Source organism: Homo sapiens, chromosome 12 (genome assembly GCF_000001405.40).
Source record: "Homo sapiens chromosome 12, GRCh38.p14 Primary Assembly".
NCBI lineage: Eukaryota > Metazoa > Chordata > Mammalia > Primates > Hominidae > Homo > Homo sapiens.
In genome coordinates, this window is record NC_000012.12 from 109,353,935 (window position 1) to 109,381,510 (window position 27,576).

General features: G+C 40.3%; 1 protein-coding gene and 1 long non-coding RNA gene across 3 annotated transcripts in view, besides 1 other annotated feature; one reads left to right on the plus strand and one right to left on the minus strand.

Moving 5' to 3' along the window:
• Positions 1-27,576, plus strand: part of MYO1H (myosin IH) — a 137,912-nt gene that overhangs the window by 43,467 nt on the left and 66,869 nt on the right. The window lies entirely within an intron of this gene.
• Positions 253-5,554, minus strand: LINC01486 (long intergenic non-protein coding RNA 1486). Its single transcript, NR_120462.1, has 3 exons — positions 5,327-5,554; positions 3,198-3,332; positions 253-501 (listed from the first exon to the last, which is right to left on the minus strand). It is a non-coding gene; the product is annotated as a long intergenic non-protein coding RNA 1486 (long non-coding RNA).
• Positions 4,510-4,669: an enhancer, noted in NCBI's record as "active region_6985". NCBI's record gives its function as "activates an Ori minimal core promoter by ATAC-STARR-seq in GM12878 lymphoblastoid cells {active_cell/tissue: GM12878}" and the evidence as "EXISTENCE:reporter gene assay evidence [ECO:0000049][PMID:35858748]".

The following is a 27,576-nucleotide window of genomic DNA, read 5'->3' on the forward strand; positions in this document are numbered from 1 at the left end:
GTTAGCCACCACGCCTGGCCAGCAGTGGTAATTTCTGAGCAGTGGGATTATGAATGATTTTTATTCTCTTTGTTGCATTTTTTCCAGAATGTCTAAAATAAAGGTGTAATTCTTCTGTAATCAAACAAAAAGATCCCATTTTAAAGAGTTTTAGGGGCTTTTAATAGCTGTTTATTTAATAAGTATATTTTTCATCCCCATCTGTCTTATCACAAATCATTCAGTGCAATAGCAAAATTCAGAAAAGTAAAATTGTAAGAATTGTACACATTTATCTTTATTTCTTGCATATTTGTCACACAAGGGGTGACTGTGTATGCTCTTCCTTCTTCTTTTACTCTCCGTCTCCTCCCTTGCCATAATAAGCTATAAAAATCCCAGCCTGAAGCCAGGCACAGTGGCTCAAGCCTGTAATCCCAGCACTTTGGGAGGCTGAGGCGGGCAGATCACGAAGTCAGGAGATCGAGACCATCCTGGCTAACACAGTCGAATCTCTTGTCTCTACAAAAAAAAAAGAAAAGAAAAAATACAAAAGATTAGCTGAGTGTGGTGGCACGCGCCTGTAGTCCGAGCTACTCAGGAGGCTGAGGCAGGAGAATCGCTTTAACCCAGGAGGTGGAGATTGCAGTGAGCCGAGATCACGCCACTGCACTCCAGCCTGGGTGACAGAGCGAGACTCTGTCTAAAAAAAAAAAAAAAAGAAAAGAAAAGAAATCCCAGCCTGCAATTCCCGGGTTACCACATGCCCAGGATAAGTGCCCAAGATGTCTGCCCTTTAGGGAATGAATGTTTCCAGTAAACATAGCCAGTTTCTGGCTAAAGAGCTTGTATATTTTGCTTTTTATTTAAAAATTGGGACAGAAAAAAATATGTTTCTTCAACAAGAGGAATCTTAGGGACTAGCAGTATCTTTTTGGTTTCAGTGTCTGCCTAGCCTTTACTTTTACACATTTGAGATTAGACCTTTTTGGCCCAACTCTCCAGAAGGAAGAGAAGAGAACAGGGGGCCTGTCCTCCTTGGCAAGGTTAGTATTACAAATGAGAAATAGCCTGACTTGCATTTGGTATGGAGGAAAAGGGGTTGGAAAAATTCTAATAAGGTCTAGTTGTGGGAAAAGAAGGAAAAGCTGGCCTTGCCATCCGCACAGTCAACAGGCCCTGAGTTCCTGGTAGCCGGAGCTGGCAGAAGTCTATCCTGGTGGTCTTGGTTCCTTCCTCCCTCCTCTGTGAGCCCCCTTTTCTACCCCACAGTGTTTGGTGGAGTTTTCTGTCTCTGGTGGTCTTCAATATGAATGTTTCTGTATTCACACGACTTCAGGGGAATAACAATTCTCCTTACGTGCAATCTTCCTTAACTTAATCTTTAAATTTTCCCTAGATCACTGGGGAAACGTGCGACTGGGTCATATTCACACCCATGTAATTTAAACAGCAAAGTGCACCTGAATCACCTCAGGGAACTTGTTGAAATGCAGATTCTGACTCAAGCAGGACCTGAGGTTTTGTTCTGTGGATGCTCGAACTGCATCCATGGACCACAATTTAAGGGCTTATAGCTATGGGCCTGGGATATACCCTTATAGAAATTATCTACGATACCTGTCGAGCATGCAGCTTCCTGAGCCCTCCTCTTGTGGGTTTTCTAGATCCACCAGGATGCTAAAGTTTGCATCCTGCATGTAAAATTCCTGCATGCTGAGGTTTGAGAACCACAGCCTTAGGTTTTTGTTTTTTTGGTTTGTTTTTGTTTTGTTTTGTTTGGTTTGGTTTTTCTTTGTTTGTTTTTTGGTTTTTCTTTTTCTTTTTTTTTTTGGGAGATGAAGTCTCTGTCACCCAGGCTGGAGTGCAGTGGCCTGATCTTGGCTCACTGCAACCTCTGACTCCTGCCTCAGCCTCCCAAGTAGCTGGGATTACAGGTGTGTGCTGCCACGCCCAGCAAATTTTTTTTTTTTCTGGTATTTTTAGTAGAGATAGGGTTTCATCATGTTGGCCAGGCTGATCTTAAACTCCTGACCTCAAGTGATCTGCCCGTCCTGGCCTCTCAAAGTGCTCGGATTACAGGCGTGAGCCACCACACCTGGCCACAGCCTTAGCTTTAAGTGGTTTCTAAATGTACCTCAAGTCACAACCACTTTTAACCAAATATTATTTAAACACCCCTTTTTGGGTGATGAATAATTTAAAAGCCATGTTGAAAGCTGTCTACTGTGTGAAGTCTACTAATTTTCTTACTAACCCAAGGGACTCAGACTGAGATGAAAAAACAAAACCCTGAAAAAAATTTGCATTTGATGGTCCAAACAGGTTTTAACATAATCCATTGTCAATATCCAATTTCTACTGAGTGTTTGCAAGGCTCCCAGACCATGAAATATCTTTTGTTCCAGAGAAAGATAGCTGTGGATACCAGGAGGATTCTCCTTAAGGCAAGAAAAGCCCTTTCTGTTTGTTTTTGTTTTTTTTTTGTTTTTTTACAAGATCAGCTACAAATTCTTTTAGGTAAACAACTTCAAAGAACCTCATGGGCTCTGGGAAAGCTTAAATGTGATCAGAATATATATCCTCTATTTAAAACTGCTATAAACTTCCAACAATTTTTTTTTCTAACATTTATCAGTAGGAAGTAGTGCAAGAAGACTAGGCTTTGCATTTAATGTTTTTTAACCCTCTATTTATGCTGAAAAAGATGGTCATGTAATGGCATTTTTTTCCCCTCCACCTCTAACTCCCGTGGGCCAATTTAAGGCTATGAACTGCTCTCATTTTTACTAGGAGACTAATCTCTAAGGTAATTTAGAAGCACTATTCTGTTTGCTGATATTCATAATTATACGCATTCAGTGGTGATTAAGAGGCTGCAGCTGGATAATAAAACACCAACAGTCCCCTTGTTGTTAGATAAAAAGATAATCCTTCATTTCAACTGTAGAGCTGTCAGTGTTGGGTAAATCAAACACATAAAAACTTGCAATATTATCATTCTCAGATTTGATCCTTATAAATTCCATAGCTAAGACCCCTTGAATCAAAGCATCAGACCGTGCTTCTTTCTTGATGTGTGTTTGGTTTACATTTTAGCTGCCACTGAATATTATTCCAAACTGGGGACAGCACCTTCTGAGGGGCTTCCTAGAGAGCAGCCCTCTCCATCTGGTCATTGAACAAAAATGCATTCAGTTCTATGAGGAAACTACTACCTGCTCTTTGCAGCATTAATTTCTGGTTCGTGTTTAGTGAGCCAGGAAGCAGTCATGGGTTTGGAAAGGTGATGTCTCAACTCGGGTTTTAAATAGCATTCTTTTTCAACACTGTTAGGTGCTGTGAACACAGAGCTGCTGGGAATAAAAAAAGGTCTTAATTTAGAAGTATCCCAACTTGAGGGATGTATTACAAACCATTAAACATTGATTGGAAAAGGGTTATATTTGAAATTCCACTTTGCTTCTCTTGGTGTGTGCAGTTTTAAAATACCATTGATTCAGAAATATGGTTCCTAAGGAAAGAAGGATGTGTGCTAAACGGGACATTGAACAGGGTTGGCAAACTTTTTCTGTAAAGGGCCAGATAGTAAGTATCTTAGGCTCACCTCTTTGTAGCATAAAAGCAGCCATAGGCAAACATAAATGTGTCTGTGTTCCAATAAAACTTTATTTATGGATACTGAAATTTGAATTTCATATAATTTTCTCATGCCATGAAATACTATTCTCTTGATTTTTTTTCTCCCAACCATTTCTCATGCCATGAAATACTATTCTCTTGATTTTTTTTCTCCCAACCATTTCTCATGCCATGAAATACTATTCTCTTGATTTTTTTTCTCCCAGCCATTTCTCATGCCATGAAATACTATTCTCTTGATTTTTTTTCTCCCAACCATTTCTCATGCCATGAAATACTATTCTCTTGATTTTTTTTCTCCCAACCATTTCTCATGCCATGAAATACTATTCTCTTGATTTTTTTCTCCCAACCATTTAAAAATGTAAAAGCCATTCTTAGCTCAAGTGTCATTCTAAAACAGGCGGTGGGCTGGACTGGGGCCATGGGCCATCATTTGCTGATTTTTCATGCAGAGCAGCAAAACTGTTCTTGCTTTTTGAATTTCCTTGACCACTCACTGAGTTTCTACAGTTGGCATCATTATGAATATTGCTTTCTACTTAAGCATCCACTGATATCTAGTATGTTCTTAGGTTTGGCTCGATGACCAGAGGCAGTTTTCAATAACGCATCATGACAATTACCAGAAGCAAATGTAATGTGCAAATATCAGGATTGCTGTCATAAGAAAAATAACACAGTGACACAAGTCATTTTTTTAGAAATGTAAAAAGGTATACAAGACTGTAAACCTGAAGTCCTGGTTGGTTTTTAAGCCTTAGACATAAGGCAACCACAGGATTCCGTGTTAGGGGAGAAATAGAAACAATAATCTACCCTTTTTGACGGTATAATCAAGTTGATCTCTTTTGGTTCTGCTATTTCCCTGCTATCTCCACAAGGCTAACTAATTTTCCAGATAAAACAGGGCTTCTCACCTACTTAGCTTCCCTAACTGTAATTTTATAAAGAGTAAGTTGAAAATGAAAGTGTGGACTTCGTCTCCGGGACTGTTGTCCTAATTCTTTTCTTTGAGGGAAAATACAACAGAATTTTGCCATGCAATGTTTTCGAAAGGCTTTTTATGAAAGCCAGTTCCTATTCTGACTCACTGGTTTCCTCTCAGTGCATTCTGCAAGCATCACGAGATAGTGTGTTCTCTGCAGTATGCAGAGTAAAAGCGATACCATGAGCGTTTTAGGTCTGTACATATTCCTTTATGATTAGTTACATCAGATAATCTGGCGAGGCTTTAAGATTTTTTTTTTTTTTTCCTCCACCACTTCTGGGGGAAGCATCCTGTGGTGTTAAAAAAAAAAAAAAAAAAAAAAAAGGCTCTAAGATAAATATTTCCCAACCTTTCCAATAGGGTTTTGGGCCTTTGGGTATGAGTTTTTAGTAAAATTTTTAAACACAGGCATTCAAGGAATATACACCCAGCCCATCAGGAGTTGGCCTGTGGTCCCTCGCTGATGTATAGCAAGTGTTTCAAACTCTTGTTAGCAAAGATGGTTTTCGGTGTCTGTGCCCGGGAGATGGCCTTCCGCTACGGGAGGGCAGGAGGTGGCCGGGGAGCTGTCCCCGCTCACTAACCTAACCGTGGTTCGGATTTCTGGCCTAAACCCAGGCATTTGAGCGCCTCATAGCTCGTGGGGAACCTGACAGGCAATTGTATTATGAAAGCTGACATGCTGAATGGACCCTTCTTGACGATATTCTTTACCTGTCTCTTTGTGTTAAAGTGGGGACAAGCAAAGTAGCAGAGGAGAGAGTCGACCGAGGCGGGAGGGAGGTGGCAGGTGGAATGAAATATCGGGCAGTTTCATGTGCGGAGCTGATGTCGCCGGCATAACAAGAAAGGGTTGCACAGAACAAATCTCTATTGTTCCCTGTCATCTTTAAATGAGTGTCAAAGTAGGCAGGGGGGCTTTGACCGTTAACCGCACAATTTAGCCTGCCTGTTGTGTCTCGCGGGCCCCACCTCCTTGGAGTTTCTCAGATTAGAAAAGAACGCCCCAGCCCCTTATAAATGGGCCATCTCTTGTTCTTTGTGTCCGGACTGCCTAGTGTGAAATCCACAGTGACGTTAAATGTTTTCTAATGAATAATTACTGAAAGGAAATGGAGGGCTATATGTGTAATGGATTGTAGCGCATTAAAATGTTTTATTTTGCGCACAAAAATGTTGTCCTTCACAAGCACCATGATTGTTGCGAAAAGGCCTTTGTGCGGACCTGTTTCAATGGATTATCTGCAAGCGTTTCCATCCCAAATGGGAATCAAAGGGCGTCTTTGGCAAACTAATGTTTTTCAAGATGGCAGCCATGAAACGCAGTTAGTATTTAAAGTTGTGGAGTTTAAAGGAATGTTTGAACTCGGGAGATTTTCTCACTTACTTTCCCCTCTTTTGATTTGGGAAAGTGAAGCGACTCCCCGCGACCTCTGTCCTGTTCCGGCGGCCGGACGGTCAGCCCTTTACAAGATTCTTGGAGCCTATTTCTTAGGAACAAGCAAGAGGTCCCAGGAATGGGTAGCTGGCACTTTGTCTTGGCTACCCTTCTTTTTTCTTTTTCTTCTTTCTTTTTTTTTTTTATTTCCTGGATGTATGTGGATAAATATGAGACTGCAGGGAATTTCAAATGTCACCTCGTTGTGAACTTATTCAGAGTTTCCCAGTGGGTTTTACTGGGGAACGTATTGGGATTTGGGTGGCTATTCATTGTCTCTCTAAATACTGAGACCCTTGAGTTTGTGTACCAGCTCTAATCGGTTTATGACAAAATTAATGGGAGTTTCTGGTGCCTCGTGAATCAATGCAGAGATGTGAACTTCAGAGTTTCAACGATGCTTTGTTGCCAATTAGGCGACCACTATAGCCAGGGTCTAGCCTGCCCCATCTCTCTTCTCTGTCTCTGTCTCTGTCTCTCTCTCTCTCTTCACTAATAATATTGAGGACTGAAGACAAGAATAGCTGTTGTTTTCTGATGACTGTAGGCTAAATGTTTTGTGAAACACATAGTTTTCTAACTTCTCAAGCATCTGCCTTCATGAGGGTAGAGAGTAGGTGTGTTTGTTCCATGGAAAATATTTCCTTGGTCCTTATGGAAGATGTGTGAACTGGAGTCAAAAAAATCTATAGTCTTGCTCTTTCTCCATGAGAATAATCATACTGAACTCCATAAAGAAAAAAACAAATGAGCATTTCTCAATTGTGAATTAGAGAGGTTAACAGAAATAGGTCTTGTTTACAAGACTGCCTAAAATCTTGGTTGGTTTTTACGTTTTAGACATGAGACAACCACAGGATTCTATGTTAGGGGAGAAATAGAAACAATAATCTACACTTTTTGAAGGTATAACGGAGTAGTGATAGAGTCTCCTTCCCAACCTATGAACACAACTCACGTCTGTCAAGTTGTTCTCTTTTCCTTTTGCTATTTCCCTGCTATCTCCACAAGTCTAATTTTCCAGATAAAATAAGGCTTCTCACCTACTTGGCTTCCCCACCTGTAATTTTATAAAGAATAAGTGAAAAATCAAAGTGTGGCCTTTCTCTGACCATTGGAACTGTTGTCCCAATTCTTTTCTTGGAAGGAAAATACAACAGAATTTTGCCATGCAATGTTTTTAAAAGGCTTATTATTGTAGGACATAACCCACACACTGAAAAGTGCATAAAATAAATGTGCAACTTAATAAATTATAAAGTGTACACCCATGTAGTAACCATCCAGGTAAAGACATAGAAGGTTCTAGCACCCCAGAAACCCCTCATATACCTCCTCCACTTAACTCCCTTCATACCCACTAAAGATAACCACTATTTGGATTTTCGTGACTCGTTTTTGAGTCATTTGCTGAGGACTTACCCCCCAAAAAAACTTAAAAAAATCAAACTAGTTTCACAAAGTGAAAGCATCTAGATGATTCTAACTGGCATAGAGATGAGCACAATTATGTCTTAATATGTGTCACAAAAACTAGCAGGCCAGGTGCAGTGGCTCACGCCTGTAATCCCAGCACTTTGGGAGGCCGAGGCAGGCAGATCACTTGAGCTCAGGAGTTCATGACCAGCTTGGCCAACATGGCAAAACCCTGTCTCTATGAAAATTTTTTTAAAATTAGCCAGGTGAGGTGGGACATGCCTGCATGGTCCCAGCTACTTGGAGGCTGAGGCAGGAGGATCACTTGAGCTCAGGAGGTCGAGGTTGCAGTGAGCTGTGATTGTGCCACTGCACTCCAGCAGCCTGGGTGACAGAGCAAGACCTTGTCTCACAAAAAAAAAAAAAAAAAAAAAAAAAAAGAAGAACCACTAACCAGCAAACCCAATGCTTTGCTGTGCAACACTATTACATAGAACAAGATGAAGGGAGGCCCTGTTGTTGTTAATCTTGCATCAATGCAAAGAAAACAATTGAGTCAGTAACAGAAAAGATGAGATTTGGACAGGGCAAAAATCACAAGTGAATCACGCAGCCATGGGAGTCATTAATAATTGTCTTTGGATTGGGGCAGATTGCCTTCTGTTTAAGTTTGGAAAAAGAAAGCAGATAGACAATATCATTTATTGCTCAGCCACCCAAAGGCTTAGTAATTCTGTCAGCAAAAATGAGAGCTCTTCCCTATAAACCACAAGTCACCAAACAATTGTTGGGTAACATAAACATGAGCTGTGTGTCCTTGATTATTTTATTGAGAGAAGGCAGGACTCCGTTAACTGTGAGATGTATTGAAAGGACATCTTTCTGTATTCAGCCTTCTAGTTTTGATGTGAAGTCTGATTTGAGCCAAAAGAGAATCTGTTTTTCTTCTGCATTTAAATATTATTATTGAAAATTATGTCATCCACTATGTTTTGTTTTGTAGGGGAGAAAAGGTACTATCTTTTTTAACTTTGCAGGTTCATGACTGAGAAACCAATTACAAAAGACAGATTAACAAGAGAAAAGTATATACATTTATTGAATTTGTTTAACACATCACAGGAGCCTTCAGAAATGAAGACCCACAGAAAACTGTATATTTGTGCTTGGGTTTGATGAAGAGGGGACAGTCATGCAGAAGTAGGATTGGACAAAAGAGGATGGGTTTGATCTAACGGTAATAAACCGGGAGAAACTTAGCAAGGCCTGTTTGTCCACATTCTTCTTGGTATTTCCGTGTCTTCACAGATGAGGACATTCCTTTCTTGTATGTATACTAATACATAGAAGACCCTCTGGAATGAGGATCTTAATCACCTACTTTTTAAGGCAAAGTCACCCAGTTTCTATGGCCTGCTTTGGCTCCTCTTTCAAGTGCCAATGTGCCGTATTTTGCCATAGCATATCTTGCAGTCCATCAGTTTCATTGGTTGCAAGCAATAGAAACAACCTAAATTATGCCAAGAAGGAATAAGTTGTTTTCTTTTGGCCTTAGATGCAGGGAGTGAAGTTGGAGAGTCCCTCGTTCATAGCACACAACTGTTTTGCTCTTTCCAAAGCCTCTCTCCCAATTTCTTTTCCTTCTTTCATCTCCCTCATAGTTATCTCCGCAATTAGGCACTTCCTTCCTCACCAGCACATTTGATATGCATCCTTTAATATGCCCATATCGGCATGCAGCATGTTGCTTTGTTTGGCACAAAAAAAATTACATGCTAGTTAAATGGTAAATTGTTTCTTTTTTCTTCATAATACATTTAGTATCTTTCCTAGATGTTGTGAGTACATTTCATTTGTTGCCCCTGACCAAGGAGAGTATTCCCTAGGGTGCTTCTCCCACTTACCCAGTCCTGGTGGTAGATATCTTCTTTCTCCATGCCCCTGAAATGCAGATCTAGGCTCCTGAAGAGAGGAATCCAGAAATCTAGCTGTGTCTTCCACCTTCCTCGTGGCTACATAAGAGGGAGCGTCGGCCGGGCGCGGTGGCTCACGCCTGTAATCCAGCACTTTGGGAGGCCGAGACGAGTGGATCACTTGAGGTCAAGAGTTTGAGACCAGCCTGGCCAACATGGTGAAACCCCAACTCTACTAAAAATACAAAATTAGCTGCGTACGGTGGTGCATGCCTGTAATCCCAGCTACTTGGGAGGCTGAGGCAGGAGAATCGCTTGAACCCAGGAGGCAGAGGTTGCAGAGAGCTGAGATCACGCCATTGCACTCCAGTCTGGGCAACAAGAGAGAAACTCCGTCTCAAAAAAAAAGAAGAAGACGCGTCTTGCTGGCCAGTCCCACCTGCGAGAAGATGTACCTCTGGGAGAAGTCAGAGGAGGAGGCATAGATGCTGGTGGAGGAAAAACAGATAGGGTAACATAGCAAGACGAAAAAGAAATAAAATACTCTTGGACCCCGTGTCTGACAAGTCAGTGGGGAAAACAGACAGACATCAGAAGTGGGTCAGGCTGGGCACAGTGGCTCAAGCCTGTAATCCCAGCACTTTGGGAGGCTGAGGTGGGTGGATCACTTGAGGTTTGGAGTTTAAGACCAGCTTTACCAACATGGTGAAACCCCATCTCTACCAAAAAATACAAAAAATATGTTAGCCGGGAAGTCTGAGGCAGGAGAATTGTTTGAACCTGGGAGGCAGAGGTTGCAGTGAGCCAAGATCATGCCACTGCACTCCAGACTGGGCAACAGAGAGAGACCATGTCTTTAAAAAAAAAAAAAAAAAAAAAAAAAAAGAAGTGGGAACAGCATGGGCAATCCAGTACCTGTACCTCCTGCCTCATGTAACTGTCTGTCCAGTCCAGTCTGTGTGGATAAGCATACACATACATACATATTTAATAATCATAGTGTCCATATACATTGTATTCTGCTGTTCTTTTTGAGCAGGGTCTCACTTTTTTGCCCAGGACTGGGGTGTGGTGGCGTGAACACTGCTCACTGCAGCCTCAAACTCGGGGGCTCAATCCTCCCACCTCAGGTCCCCAGTACCTGGGACTACTGGGCATGCACCACTATGCCAGGCTAATTTTTGTATTTTTTGTAGAGATGGGGTTTCTCCATATTGCCCAGGCTAGGCTTGAGCTCCTGAGCTCAAGCGATCCACCTGCCTCGGCTTCCCACGTTCTTTTTTAAAAGGCAGAAAATATTGGTTACATAATGTTCATAGGCATTACTATTATGTCTTATTGTTGTAAATTTAATGTAAATCACCATTTTAGATAACACCACAGAAACACAGATAATTTTTGTAATTGCTTAAAATATTTCCCTAGTCAAAGTCCTAAGGAATAGCAATACATTTTTTTTTCCATATGATAATGTTACCTTTCAAAGGGATAATCAAAATTTACAATGCTACCTCCAGTGTGTTTGGGTTATAATTTCACTTCAACCTTGTCAGAATTAATACACAAGTATTATTCTTTCCCTTATTTGTCACCTTATGGTAATAACTTGGTACTGCTGATTTAATTTGCATACATTTAATTATTACTGATGTTGAGCATCAAAAGGCAATCTTCAGGCAGGGCGTGGTGGTTCACAACTATAATCCCAGTGATTTGGAAGGCCGAGGCGGGAGGATCGCTTGAGGCTAGGAGATCAAGTCCAGCCTGGGCAACATAGTAAGACATTGTCTCTACAAAAAATTAAAAACAAGACTTAGCTTGATGTGGTAGTGTGTACTTGTAGTCCCAGCTACTTGAGAGGCTGAGGCAGGAGGATCACTTGAATCCCAGAGTTCAAGGCTGCAGTGAGCTAAGATTGTGCCACTACACTCCAGCCTGGGCAACAGAGCAAGACCCTGTCTCTTAAAATAAATAAATAAACAAGGTAATCTTTAAACAGGAACCAGCAACTGAACTAACAGTAACATAGCTCAGCATGGGCCAATTCCAGTTCCGTCATGAAACTGAAAATACTTCCCAGGCAGATGGCTGTATCTAGGCAAAACTGAAGTAGATCAAGCGTCTATTTAGCATTATGGCTTCGGGGCTTTCTTCTCAGTCTCTTTCTTCTGGTACTTTTCCCCTCCCTCGGACACTTGGAGCCTCAGTGGAGGTGGTGAGCTTGGTTGGAGGCTGGTTGGGAGCACAGGCTCTGGAGTTCAGCTGTTGATTTTGAATCCTGCCTTCCTTGCTTACCATCTGTGGGTCTTAGATAGTTGAGCCTTAGTTTGCTCTTTTGAAAAATCAAGATGATAATACCTATTTCACAGGGGGGTTGTGAGGATTAAATAAGATGATGAGATGACCAATGTGAGACCATGGCCCAGAGCCAACATGCAGGCTGCATGATGGAACGGGAGGCCTAGATGCTTCTGTGAGCTCCTACCATTTAGACCAGGGGTACCCAACCCCTGGGCAGTGGACTGGTACCGGTCCGTGGCCTGTTAGGAACTGGGCCGCACAGCAGGAGATGAGTGGTGGGTGAGCTAGCATCACTGCCGATGCTCCGCCTCCTGTTAGATCCGTGGCAGCATTAGACTCTCACAGGATTGTGAAGCCTGTTGTGAACTGCACGTGTGAAGGATCTAGGTTGAACACTCCTTATGAGGATCTAACGCCTGGTGATCTCAGGTGGAGCAGGAGTTTCATCCTGAAACCATTCCCTCCCTCTTCTCCCGTCCATGGAAAAATTGTCTTCCACGAAACCAGTCCCTGGTGACAAAAAGGTTGGGGACCACTGACCGCTGTCCTAGACCACCCAGATGTGCCTTCTTCAGAACTTCTTATGCCTTTTCTTTCCAATCACTTCTTTTTGCAAAATGTCCCAAACCAGGGTTCCATCAACTTTAATCTGTGTACCAATGTCCCATTAACTTCAATCTAAGTCCTGTCAACTTCAGTCTGTGTACCAATGGCCCATCAACTTTAAGTGCCTGAAGTAAAGGGATCCAGGGGTGAATTGTTAGCCAATGCTATAGTTTATTCAAGGTGGGGGCAGGCTTGGGGAAGTCAGGGGCCTCTCAGTACCCCTCAAGGCTAACCATGTAAGAATCCTTGAAACAAATGTGGAACTGGCTTGAGACCATATAGCTGTGGGATTTGTTTCACGGTTTAAGAGGACAAGAAACCGTACTCAGGTGCCTCTTTCTGAACTTCCAGAACAATCTCCTTGCCAAAGAACGGGAAGCTCCCTGTGCCAGACTAATCAGTGACTCTCCCTCAGATGCAGAAAAACTTAATTATAAATGCAAAGCAACAAAGTGCAAAATTGAGCAGTGAACAGATGTAGACAGAACATTTGCATTTGATATATAAAAGGTCAAACTGAGTAGAGGCAAGAAGGATGAGCAAGAAGCATGATGGATGTGGGTTGAATCTCAGCTCTGCCACTTACCAGCTGTAGAAATATTGTCACTTATTACTACAGATTGAACTTCCCAGATCCAAAAATGCAAAATGCCCGCAAATCCGAAACTTTATGAGTGCCCACTTGATGCTCAAAGGAAACGGTCATTGGAGAATTTTGGATTTCAGATTTTCAGATGTGAGATGCTCAACCAGCAAGCATAATGCAAATATTCCAAAATCAGAAGAAAGTTCAAAATCTCATGTATTTCTTGTCCCAAGCAGTTCAAATAAGGGATACTCAACCTGTATGTCAATTGTTATTTTATCATCTGCTACTTCCAGGGGAGGAAAAACTCACTTTTACATAGTTACCTTCATCAGATATTTCTCTGCAGGAAAAGTTTCATAAGCAAAGTCAAAAGAAAAATGGGAAAATGGGGAAAAATATTCACAGTGCATAGGAAAAGGCTAATTTCCTAACTTTACAAAGAGACCATACAAATGAAAGACAAAAATAAGTTCTCCTTAGACCCTTAGGAAGGATATGAGTAGGTGGATCATAGAAAAAGAGATACAAAAGCCCGTCACCTGTACAAAAATATGTTCTCTCTCGCTTGCAATTCAGGGAATGCTTCCATCTCCAGCTACATTGCTGGAGAAAATTTTTTAAAAGACCCATAACACAAGTACTAAAGAGATTTGGGGGAAAACTGCATTTTCATACCCAGTTTGTGGAAGGGGAAGTTGCGGCAATCTTTTATATTTATTTATTATTCATGTATTTATTTATTTATTTATTTACTTATTTCGAGACAGAGTCTTGCTCTGTCGTCCAGGCTGGAGTACAATGACACTATCTCGGCTCACTGCAAGCTCCACCTCCCAGGTTCACCCCATTCTCCTGCCTCAGCCTCCTGAGTAGCTAGGACTACAGGCGCCCGCCACCACACCCGGCTAATTTTTTTGTATTTTTAGTAGAGACAGGGTTTCACCGTGTTAGCCAGGATGGTCTCGATCTCCTGACCTCATGATCCGCTCGCCTCCGCCTCCCAAAGTGCTGGGATTACAGGCGTGAGCTACCATGCCTGGCCTATTTTTAAATTAGTTTTTAAAGACAAGGTCTCGCTTTGTCACCCAGGCTGGAGTGCAGTGGCACAATCATGGCTCACTGCAACCTCAAACTTCTGGGCTCATATGATGCTCCCGCTTCAGCCTCCTGAGTTGCTGGGACTACAGGTGTTGCACCACCACTCATGGCCAGCAGCAATCTTTTTGATGAATATTTGCTAAGTAAGCTCTCCAAATTGTCTTGACCTAGCAATTCCTCCTCTGCAAGTATCTCCTACTGGTTCTCTCAAAGAAAAGGCCAAATTATAAGCAGGAAGATGCCCATTACAAGATGGTTTGTGACATGCAAAACTAAAAACAAAGTTAGTTTATAGGACTGTCCGCTCCTCAAGGACAGGAATATCTTTCTGGCTTGTTCACTGAAATATCCCAAGCAAGTGCCTAAAGCAGGGCTTGAGATGTAAAAAGAGCTCAATAGATGTTTGGCAGATAATTGAAGGTAATAAACAATGGGACAACTTACAGTCATTAAAAAGAATAAGATAGGCTGGGCACGGTGGCTCATGCCTGTAATCCCAGCACTTTGGGAGGCCGAGGCAGGCGGATCACCTGAGGTCAGGAGTTTGAGACCATCCTGGGCAACGTGGTGAAACCCAACCTCTACTAAAAATATAAAAATTAGCCAGGTGCAGTGGCACACACCTTTAATCCCAGCTACTCGGGAGGCTGAGGCAGGAGAATTGCTTGAACCCGAGAGGTGGAGGTTGCAGTGAGCTGAGATCAGCCTGGGCAACAAAGCAAGACTCCATCTTAAAAAAAAAAAAAAAAAAAAGGGTTCTTGCTGATAGGAAAAGATGTTAAGGATATATTGGGGTTTTTCCAACTTTTATTTTAGATTCAGGGGTACACGTGCAGGTTTGTTACCTGGGTTTATTGTGTGATGCTCAGTACCCAATAGTTAGTTTTTCAACCCTTTCCCCCTCTCTTCCTTCCCCCTCCAGCAGTCCTCAGTTTCTGTTGTTGCCATCTTCATGTCCATGAGTACCCAGCGTTTAGCTCCCACTTGTGAGAACATGCCATAATTGGTTTTCTCTTCCTGCATTAATTAACTTAGGGTAATGGCCGGTAGCTGCATCCATGTTGCTGCAAAGGACATGATTTCTTTCTTTTTTTTTTGAGACTGAGTTTCACTGTTGTCACCCAGGCTGGAGTGTAGTGGTGTGATCTCGGCTCACTGCAAATTCTGCCTCCTGGGTTCAAGCAATTCTCCTGCCTCAGCCTCCCGAGTAGCTGGGATTACAGGCATGTGCCACCACACCTGGCTAATTTTTGTACTTTTACTAGAGACAGGGTTTCACCATGTTGGCCAGGTTAGTCTCAAACTCCTGACCTCAGGTGATCCAAATGAGCCACGATGCCTGGCTCATTCTTTTCATGGCTGCACAGTATTCCATGGTGTATATGTACCAAATTTTCTCTATCCAAGAGAATATATTGCTAAGGAAGAAAAAAGCAAAATACAGCATGCTGCATCTTATGTGATTTTGTCTGGATAAATACAAAAACCAAATGATATCGAGGCATAAATTTTCAGGAAGGATGCACAAGGAAGAGTGGTAAACCTCTGGGGAGAGACTGAGGTTCAAAGAGATGAGAGTGGCTTTTGCTTTTCAGACTGTTTGACGCTTAAAAATTGGATGGGTATTAATGATAATATTTAAAAATCTCTCTCTCACACACACCCCCATAGACATGCATGTACATGTGTGCCATGTTACAGGACATATGGCCAGATATCATGGGAACCAAGAAGTTACCAGGTTGTAAGAGTCTGTGTCTGTCTTTCTATCTCTGGGATTGCAAATTGATGTCTTTGCCTATGCATTGGCCAGTATGGTCAGCAGCATAGGTCGTCATAACCCTGTAATTCACTTCTCCATGACAAAATGAGTTAAGCCTCATAGGCTCCCCTGTATTAGTCCATTTTCATGCTGCTGATAAAGACATACCTCAGTTGGGGTAATTTATAATTATAAAGAAAAAGAGGTTTAACGGACTCACAGTTCCACATGGCTTGGGAGGCCTCACAATCATGACAGAAGGCGAAAGGCACGTCTTACATGGCAGCAGAAAATAGAGAACTTGTACAGGGAAACTCCCTTTTATAAAACTATCAGATCTTGTGAGACTTGTTCACTGTCATGAGAACAGCACAGGGAAGACCCGCCCCCGTGATTCAATTACCTCCCACCATGTCCCTCCCATGACACATGGGAATTGTGGGAGCTACAACTCAAGATGAGATTTGGGTGGGGACACAGCCAAACCATATCACTCCCTAACCCAGATTCCCAGGCCCATTTCTGTCTTGCCAATGTAGGTCTATTCCCCTCCCTGGCTGAAGCCAGGGTAGTGCCATGCCCTTGTCTACATGCGACCAGCTCAGCTCACCCCTTCAACAGGACTGAGCAGGGGAAGGATTGTCTTGGAAGAGGATGTAGGTGGGAAGGTAGTTCCTGTCATCTCTATCATGCCAAGGTCCAAAGGAGGCAGTGACATTGGTCAAAGTCACATGTCTACCCAGCAGTGGGATGAGGCTGAAATTCTGATCCCTTCCACAGCCTCCCCCATCACTTAGCTTCCCTGTTTATACTTTCACAAAGAGGAAAATACCATCTGGCTATGGAGTTGTTGTGGGTAATACATGAGACAGAGATTTGTAAACTGCCCAGTTACCGGGCTCTGTGCACAGTAAAAACTCAATAAATAGAAAGGGCTACTACCCATTTTAATATTACATTTTATTGGCAGGGAGGTACATTTGGGTAAATCAATGTTGATTTTCCTTCTTTAACCTGTGCTCGCTCTCAGACCAGTGGCTTTAGTTAGAATGCTTCCTCTTTGAATTCTCTAGATTATTTCAAATCTATACATGGCACTGAATTTATTCACTCATTTGACAAATCTGCTGAGCACCAATTATGTGGCAAGACTTGAGCTAGAAGCTGGGGACACACAATGAAAAAGACTTACCCCTGAGAGGCTTCTAGAAGGGCTCAGCCTAAGATCAAGGAATCAAGTAATTAGAATCACTGTCAGCTGCAGTTATTAGGATAATGGCAGTTTCATAACTGTAACTTGTACAAAATGCTATAAAGAAATAGGGTGAAGAGATAATAATAGAGGAATTTGCTTATTTTATAAATGTTTCAAATACAAGTTACAAAATTTAGAAAGAGCTAACAGGTATATATAACAAAGCTTAAGCCTTCTTTTCCAGAAGCAACTACGGTTTTCAATTCCTTGGGCATGCTTTTAGGGAGATGTTGTGACTTTATAAGCATCTATGTGTACACACGTACATTGGTTTTCTTTTTTTTCTTTCTTTTTTTTTTTTTTTTTTTTGAAATAGGGTCTCACTCTGCTACCCAGGCTGGAGTACAGTGGTGCAGTTATGACTCACTGCAGCCTCTACCTCCCCGGGCTCAGATGATCTTCCTACCTTGGCCTCCTAAGTAGCTGGGACTTCAGGTGTGTGCCATCGCACCTGGCTCATTTTTGTATTTTTCTGTAGAGATGGGGTTTGGCCATGTTGCCCAGGCTGGTCTCAAACTCCTGAGCTAAAGCAATCTGCCTGCCTACGCCTTCCAAAGCTCTGGGATTACAGGTGTGAGCCACCATGCCCAGCCTTGTTTTTCTTACAAATGGTAGCATTCTATTTAGGAGATTCTATAGCTCTATGGTCTTTCATTGGATGCATGAACCATAATTTAATTTACCTGTTTCCTATTGATGGATATTGAGGTTGCTTATTATTTTGTTCACATGAGAGCATATCTAGAGGATAAATATCTACAAATGAAATTATTGTGTCAAAGAATATATGCCTAATTTTTGAAATATACTTTCAAATTACATTTCATAAAGATTCTATAATATATACACCTTCTCACTTGTAATAGATGCTAGTAATTCCTTTCCACACTTACTGAGAGTATGTTCTCAAACTTAGCTATCAGAGTGCCAAAAATGAAAATCGTATCTCAGTATATTTGAATAGCATTTTTCTTTTGAGTGAAATGGAGTATCTTCTACATATATTTAAAAGACAAAGTTGTATTTTCTGTGAATTGTTGTTTACATCCTTCATTTTTGGTGTATTTGTGTGGGGTGTTGGACTTTTATTGATTTATGGAAGCTTTTTGTATATTAAGAAAACTAATGATTTATCTGAGCTATAAATTGTAAATATTTTTCCTAGAATTGATTTGTCTTTTAACTCTGCTTATAATGTTTTTTTCTAGGGAGAAATATTTTCTACGTAGTTGAATGAACAGTCTGTTCTTTTGTGGATTCTGGTTGTTTTTAGTCATACTTAGGCATGTCTTGCTTCATTCATATTTTCTTGTACTTTCCTTTCATTATTTTATTTTTTAGTGTTTAAATCTTTGATCCTTCCAGAATTGTTTTGGTGTAAAATATGACATAGATGTCCAGCCTTCCTTTTATAGAACTATCCAGTGTTTCCAACATTAATTTTGAAAATTAGGTTGATAAATGTATAATTTACATTCAGTAAAATTCACACTTTTTAGATGACATTTCTCTGAGTTTTTACAATTGCATAATGCCATTTATTGAATAACTCATTTTCTTACCATGAATTTGAAATACTACCTTGACTATTTAATAAATCCACCTGTATGTTTGGGATAAGTTCTATTCTTTCCATTTAGCAATATTGAATTGCTTGTCAATTCATGTTCAAGGTTATGTTATTGAATTTATGTCTTAATTAAAGACATATGTCATCATGTCTTAATTTATGTCTTAACATTGAATTTATGTCTTAATATCTGCTAAGGCTGGTACCTTCTCATTAATCTTTTTGTTTCTTTCAGAAATTTCCTGGATATTCTTACTTATTTTTCTATATGAGCTTTAGACTCAATTTGTTTAGCATGCAATAAATCTTGGCAGTATTTTAAATGGGACTTTATTTTATAGTTGAACTTAGGTAAATTAATAACTATATGATATTGAATCTCCCTATCCAAGAACATAGTATATCTTTCCATTTGTTTGAATTTTTTGTGTGTTCCTCAAGAGTGTGTTAAAATTATTTTTATAGAAATCTGGCACATTTGGTGATAAACTTATTCTATATTTTATCTCTTTAGTCAATATCTTAAGGGGAGTTATTTCTACCATTGCATATTCTAACTAATAATTATTTGGTTACATTAGAGCTATTGATTTTTGTTTATTAACTTTGTATATGGCCTGAATTTACATATCATATATAATGTTTGGATTTTCCTTGGAAATAGTAATCAGCAGATGCTTTTCTTCTCCAATGTTTCTATTTTGATTTCCTCCTCTTATCTAATTGCATTGGCCAGTACTTCGAATTAGGACGATAAAGAAAACTTACGTCTTTTTCTTGATTTTAAGAGGCATGCTTTTATGTTTATTAAGTATGGTGCTAGCTTTTGAGACATAGCTGTATTTTTATAATGTTAAATAAGTGTCTACTGTTTTTGTAATTATCAAGAATGTAATATAATTATAATTATCAAGAATGAAAATTGAGTTGATCAAATGCTTTTTTAAAACTTAGATGTATAATTTTTCACATGATCTATTGATTTGGTAAATCTATTATTAATAGGTTTTCTAATATTGTATTCTTAGAATAATCTATTTTATTACTAGATTTTCTGATATAACATTCCTGGAATAAATCCCATTTGGTCATGTTTTACTATTTCTTTATGTTTTGTTGAATTCAACTTGCTAATCACTTATTGAGGAATTTGGTTTTGATATTCCTAAGATGAGCTTGGTCTAGTTACTTTTATATTTTTATTACAAAATATCACACACAGAAGAGTATATATAAATATGTATAACTTAAAGAATAACAAACACTCATATGCCTCCACCCAGTGAAAGATACAAAACCCACCCTTGGTTTTCTTTGTTGTTTTACCACCTGTAAAAGTATTCTCTAGCCAGAGTGGTGGCACATACCTGTAATCCCAGCTACTCGGGAGGCTGAGGCAGGAGAATCACTTGAACCTGGGAGGTGGAGGCTGCAGTGAGCTGAGATCACACCACTGCACTCCAGCCTGGGCGACAGAGTGAGACTCTGTCTCAAAGAAAGCAATAGATTGCTTAATTTTGCTTATTTGGGGCCCTTGTTATAATAGAATTAAACTACATATACTCTTATGTGACTGGCTTTCTTTGAACAATGCTGTTCTTTGAGATTGAACCACGTTGATCAGCACGTGATGGATTCACTTCCGCAGTTGTACACAGCATGACTGAATTAAACATTTTTGTTGAATCTATCCTGAATTGGCCTGTTTTTCCATTTCTATAAGTCATCTTTTGTGTCCTTCTGGAGTGTGTTAAAAAGAATATGGATTCTGGAGTCAGGCTGTTTAGTGTCCATCTCAGTTGACATGTACTAGCTATGTGGCAAGTTATTTAACCCCTCTGTGTCTCAGTTTCCCCGTCTGTAAAATGGGAGCTAAAATACCTACTACCTCATAGGGTTATTGAAAGGTTTCAAATGAATTCATATATAAGAAGCACTTGGGGCAGTGCCTGGCATACTGTAAGTTCTATATAATTGTTTGTGGTATGACTATACCACTGTGCAATCATAATAGTAACATATTCTTTTATTGGTGGAAGTTGAGTGTGTTTCTTGTTTTGGAGTTGTTATAAATAACGCTGCCATGTACCTTCCTATGCTTGTCCCCCACAGCACATAAACAAGAGGAATTAAGTGGCTTGGTCAGAGGATATGTGTCTTCAGCTTTTCTGGGCTATACTAAATTGTTTTCCAAAGTAATTGTACCAATTTACATTCCCATCCATATAGTATAAGAGTTTCTCTTGCTCTACATCCTTCCCAGCTTGTCTTGTTAGGCTTTAAAATTTTTGTCAGTTTGGTAAGTATAAAATTATATTCCGGTGCATATTAATTTGCACATTTCATATTTGTATTGGCCATTTGATTTTTTTTTTTTCGAGACGAAGTCTGGCTCTGTTGCCCAGGCTGGAGTGTAGTGGCATGATCTCGGCTCACTGCAACCTCCACCTCCTGGGTTCAAGCAATTCTCCTTACTCAGCCTCCTGAGTAGCTGGGATTACACGTGCCTGCCACTGTGCCCAGTGAATTTTTGTATTTTTAGTAGAGACGGGGTTTCGCCATGTTGGCCAGGCTGGTCTCAAACTCCTGACCTAAGGTGATCCACCTGCCTTGGCCTCCCAAAGTGCTGGGATTACAGGCGTAAGCCACCATGCCCGGCGGATTTTTTTTTTTTTTTTGACAAGGTCTGGCTCTATTGCCCAGGCTGGAGTGCAGTGGCACAATCTTGGCTCACTGCAGCCTCCACCTCCCAGGCTCAAGCCACCCTCCCACCTCAGCCTCCTGAGTTGCTGGGGCTACAGGCGTGTACCACCACATGCAGCTAATTTTCATATTTTTTGTAGAGATGGGGTTTTGCCATGTTGCCCACACTGGTCTCAAACTCATGGCCTCAAGCGATCTGCCCACCTCGGCCTCCCAAAATGTTAAGATTACAGGTGGGAGCCACCACACCCGGCCAGCCATTCAATTTTATATAAAATGCCTGTTTGCCACCATCCTATTTTTAGATTGAACTGTTTGATTTTTCTTATTCATTTCTAGATCCTTTTTATGTATTGGAAATAGCTTCCCCAACTCTATAGCTTTGCGCTTCACTCTTTTTATATCATTTAATAAAATGTATTGATTTTAATGTAATCAAGATTGTACATCATTCCCTTTATGGTTGATGCTTTTTCATATGAATTATGAAGAAATCCTGGCTAGGAATAGTGGCTCACACCTGTAATCCCAGCACTTTGGAAGGCCGAGGCAGATGGATCACTTGAGCCTAGGAGTTTGAGACAAGCCTGGGCAATATGGCAAAACCCTTTCTCTATAAAAAAATACAAAAATTAGCAGGGTGTGGTGATGAGTGCCTGTGGCCTCAACTACTTGGGAAGCTAAGGCAAGAGGATCATTTGAGCCCAGAAGTTTGAGGCTACAGTAATCTATAATAGCACCACTACACTTCGGCGTGGGCAACAGAGCAAGACCCTGTCTCAATCAGTCAATCAATGGAAAGAAAGAAATAATTTCCTACCCCAAGGCCATGAAGATATCTTCTATATTCTCTTCTAAAGCTTTATAGTTTTGCCTTTCACATTTAGATTTTTTTTGGTAACCATCTTACTGAAATACAATTCATACACCATACAATTTAGAGTAGATACCTCAAGGTTTTCAGTTTATTCACAGAGTTACACAACCATCAACACAATCAATTTTAGAGCATTTCAACACCTTGAAAAGAAATTTCATGCCCTTTAGCAGTCACCTCAAACTGCCTAGCACTTGGTAACTACTGATCCACTTTCCATGTCTATATATTTCACTGTTCTGGATATTTCATATAAATGAAGTCATATAGTAGTTGTCCTTTTGTAACTGCTTCTTTCACCTAGCATGATGTTTTCAAGGTTCATCCATGTTGTAACATGTATCAGTACTCCTTTCTTTTTGTTGCCACATATAGGTCTTTAATCCACTGAAAATTACTTTTCTGTGTGGTATGGGGTAGGCATACAGTTTTTTTGCACACACCTCCCAGTGTCCCAGGATGATATTTGGAAAAGGCTGCCCTTTTCTCACTGCTTTGTTCTGCTACCTTTGTCAACATAAAGTGTTCATTTATTTGTAGGTCTGATCCTGGGCTCTCTATTCTGTTACACTGGTGTCTTTGTATCCCCATGCCAATATCATACTATCTGGATTAATGTAGTTTTACAGTATGGCTTGGTAACTAGTAGAGCAAGTCATCAGACAACAATAAGCTGTTCTGTATACAGATTATCTTGGCTATTCTTGGTCCTTTGCAATTTCACAAAAATTTCAGAAACAGCTTGTCAAGTTTTACTTAAACTTCTTGGGATTTTGATTGTGATAGTATTGAATCTAAGGACCAGTGTGGGAGAACATAACATCTTTAGAATACTGAGTCTTTCCATTCATGAATATGGTATACCCTTTTATTGTTCTTTAATTTCTTCTAATTGTTTTCCTTTAAAATGTATTGAGGTGAAATTCACATAATGTAAAATTAGCTGTTTTAAAGTAATCAGATTCAGTGGCATTTTGTAAACTCACAGTATTGTGCAGCCGCCACTTCTTTATAGTTTCAAAACATTTCCATCACTCCAAAGTAAAATATCTTCCCATTAAGCAGTTTCCACTCATGTTCCCTCCCACCATCTCTTGCCGTCTTAGTCCATTTTGTGTTGCTATAAAGGAATACTTGAGGCTGAATAGTTTATAAAGAAAGAAAGGTTTATTTGGCTTATAATTCTGATGGCTGGAAAGTTCAAGATTGGGCATCTGCACGTGTTGAGGGCCTCATAGTGGAAGATAAAGGGAAACTAACATGTGCAGAGATCACATGGTGAGTGAGGAAGCAAGAGAGAGGAGGTGGAGGTATCACCTGATGGGCTCTTTTTAAATAACCAGCTCTTTCAGGAACAAATAGAGTGAAAACTCACTCACCCTGAGGGAGGGCATTAATTTATTCATGAGGGATCCATGGGATGGAGCCTATGACCCAAGCACCTCCTAGAAGGCCCCACCTCCAACACTGGGGATCAGGTTTCAACATGAGACTTGGTGGAAACAAACCATACCCAAACCAAAGCATTTGGCAACCACCAATCTGCATTCTGCCTCTATGGCTTTATCAGTTCTGTTTATCCAATAATGTCTTATCATTTTCTCCTATAGCAGTCTTATATATCTTCTATTAGATTTATTCCTAAAGAATCTTTAACTTTATTGTGAAATGTTTTAAATAAGTATTATGAAAAATAAACATTCTATATGTCATGCAACCAATAAGCTTTGTATAAAAGTAGAAAGAATAGTATAATGAATCTCCTAGTAACTCTCACCACCAGGATAATAATCATCTCATGGCCAGTGATGTCTTACCTCCTTCCCCACTTGTTTCCCATAGCCAGGTTACTCTGATACAGTTCCAGACACAATGTCATTTCCTCCGTATTTCAGTATTTATTTCTAAGTGATACAGAATCTTTTAAAAACATAACCACTATGCCATACGTTGTGATTATTGATAACTCTTTTTCATCTCTTTTTTAAAATAACAGCTTTATTGAGATCTAATTCATATGCCATACAATTAATCTATTTAAAGTGTACAGTTCACTTGTTTTTAATATATTTGCAGAGTTGTGCAGTCATCACCACACCATGGACATGTTTCCGTTTCTCTTGGGTAGATACCTAAGAGTGGAACTGCTGGGTCATATGGTAGCTCTGTTTAATCTTTGGAGGAGCTACCAGAATGTTTTCCAAAGTGGCTGCACCATTTTCTTTTTCTTTTTTTTTCTTTTTTATTTATTTATTTATTTTTTTGAGATAAGGTCTCACTCTTTTGCCCAGGCTGGAGTCCAGTGGTGTGATCACGGCTTACTGCAGCCTTGACCTCCCAGACTTAAGCAATCCTCCCACCTCAGCCTCCCAAATAGATGGTACCACAGGTGTGCACCACCATACCCAGCCAATTTTTTTTTTCATTTTTGTAGAGATGTGGTCTCACTGTGCTACCCAGGCTAGTCTCAAACTCCTGAGCTCAAGCCCCCGTCTGGGCCTCCCAAAAGGCTGGGATTGCAGGCATGCGCCACTGTGCCCGACCTGCACCATTTTATATTCCCACCAACAATGGATGAGGGTTCTAAATTGTTTACTTCCTTGCCAACACTTATTATCTGATATTTTCCCTGGTGAGGGCCTCAGGCTACTCGTAGTGGAAGGTAAAAGGAAGCTAGCACGTAGAGAGATTACATGGTGTGAGAGGAAGCAAGAGAGAGAGGGAGGGAGGGATAGGGGTGGGTGTGAAGTGGTATCTCATTGTGGTTTTGAGTTGCATTTTCTACTTTTTTCTCTTTTAAAATATAGGTTCCCTTGTAGTTTCCTTCAACAAATGTTGAAGAAAGTAACTAGATTTTCCTGTAGCGTCTCCCACTCTGGATTTAGGTGATGGTATACTACAGCATTGTTTAATGTCTTTTCCATTCCTTACTGTCCTTTGAATTGGAAGTTAGATCTAAACCTGTGCTCCCTGAGTACTAGGCACTGGTCACCTATGGCTATGTAAATTTAAATAAATCAAAATTAAATACAAATTTCAGTTCCTCAGCCTCACCACATTTCAAGTGCTAAAAGGCCACACATGTGGCTAGTGGCTGCTGTACTGAACAGTGAAGCTATCAAACATTTTCATCATGTCAGAAGATTCTATTTGACAGCACTGACTTAGGGGTTAGATCAGATTCAGCTCTGTAGGATTTCAATCTTTTGAAACTTGAGATTTACTTTATGGCTGGGAATAATGTCCATTTTTAAAAAGTTCTATGTGCTTTTGAACTAAAATGTATATGCTCCAGTTGTTGGGTGCAACGGTCTACATGTGTTAGTTGATTGTGGTGTTTGATTTTCTGTGTGCTATTGAGCGTTTTTTGCTATTGGTTTCTGTCAGTTTCTATCAGAGAGAGGCTAGTTATGATCCCTCACTATGGGATTGTTTTAGTAAACTGCAATATAGTAAGCACAAATAGTGAAATACTTTGCAGTTCTAAAAAATAATGAGGAATATCTCTCTAAACAACTCCCAAATGAGCTCCAAAAAAGACAAGATTGAAAAATAGCATATATAGTTTGCAAACATTAGCCTAAGAAAAGAGGAAAACAAATCTACATGTAAATTGCTTATATTTAAAAAAGAAACTGTTTTAGCAATTTTAACCTTTTTTTTTTTTTTTTTTTTTTGAGATGGAGTCTCACTCTGTCACCAGGCTGGAGTGCAGTGGAGCAATCTCAGCTCACTGCAACCTCCGCTTCCCAGGTTCAAGCCATTCTTTTGCCTCAGCCTCCCAAGTAGCTGAGACTACAGGCACTCACCACCACACCTAGCTAATTTTTGTATTTTCAGTACAGATGGAGTTTCACCATGTTGGCCAGCATGGTGTCGATGTCTTAACCTCGTGATCCGCCCACCTCAGCCTCCCAAAGTGCTGGGATTACAGGCATAAGCCACCACGCCCGGCCAGCAATTTTAACTTTTTAAAATTTTTATTTCATTTTTTACTTTTTGTAGAGATACGGTCTCGCTTTGTTGCCCACGCTGGTTTCAAACTCCTGGCCTCGAGTGATCCTCCTGCCTCAGCCTCCCAAAGTGCTGGGATTACACATGACAGCCACCGCACCCAGGCCAATTTTAACATTTAAAAAATAGTTGTTTACAGGAGGAGGATGAGAATGCAGAAGAAAGGGTAAGAACAGGAGCTAGGTCTCTGAATATGCCCTAATTTATTCCTTGGCATCATTAAATATTCTACATACTTATAAAACAAAATTAAATTTAAAAATCAATCCGCTGACATAAACGGTAAAATGAAAAAAAAATGTACATCTGGTTGCTAGCATAGAGAGATTGACTATTTCAAGGGAACCTAAAAAACACAGTAATGTGTCTCTACAATTCCAGTGAGGTTTACCCTGAGGACAAAGAATTCAAAAAGTTTTAGATGGTTTTCAGTAATCCCACTGGTGACAGTGTTGGTATTATTATTTTGAGACTGTTGTGTGTATATTGTTAATAAAGCCAATGAAACATTGCTCATGTCATTGAACTAGAATTTTTGGATGGGAGAAAAGAGAAGAGATAGAAAACTAAGGTTAAGGCTGGGTGTGATGGTTCACACTGGTAATTCCAGAATTTGGAAGGCCAAGGTGGGCAGATCACTTCAGGTCAGGAGTTCGAGACCAGCCTGGCCAACATGGTGAAACCCCATCTTTACTAAAAATACAAAAATTAGCCAGGCATGGTGGCCCGCACCAGTAGTCCCAACTACTCGGGAGGCTGAGGCAGGAGAATCACTTGAACCCGGGAGGCAGAGGTTGCAGAGAGGTGAGATCACGTCATTGCACTCCAGCCTGGGCAACAGAGCGAGACTCTGTCTCAGAAAACTAAGGTTAAGTTCAAACCTCTTCATTCTATATTAAATTGATAGAATCAGAATAAACTCATAATATATTTTATTTTTAAAATGCTTTCTTCTGCTATTGAAAAGGTCTAGAAACAATGATTAACCCTGCAGCAATGACCACTCCTAGGGTATGAACGTGGCAGCTACCATCTACCCACTCAAAGAAACCAGAGTTCATTGGAGAAAAGACAGATTCAAGGTCTAGGTTGAAAATAAATAAGCTTTGAAACAACTCAGCATCCTTATAAGCAAGAAAGCTCATAAAGACAAGGCCATGTCAGAAGGACTCGAATCACTCAGGTATGACAGCATGCACCTGTAATCCCAGCTACTTGGGAAGCTGAGGAGAGAAGATGGCTTGAGCTCAGGAGTTCAAGATTACAGTGAGCTATGACTGCACTACCGCAGTCCAGGCTGGATGACAGAGTAAAAATCCTATCTCCAAAATAACAATAATAAATTAATTAAACTAAAAATTACTCAAGAGCCTACTTGATAGATTCCCACTGGCCAAATTTGGGATAAATTGGGCATCAATA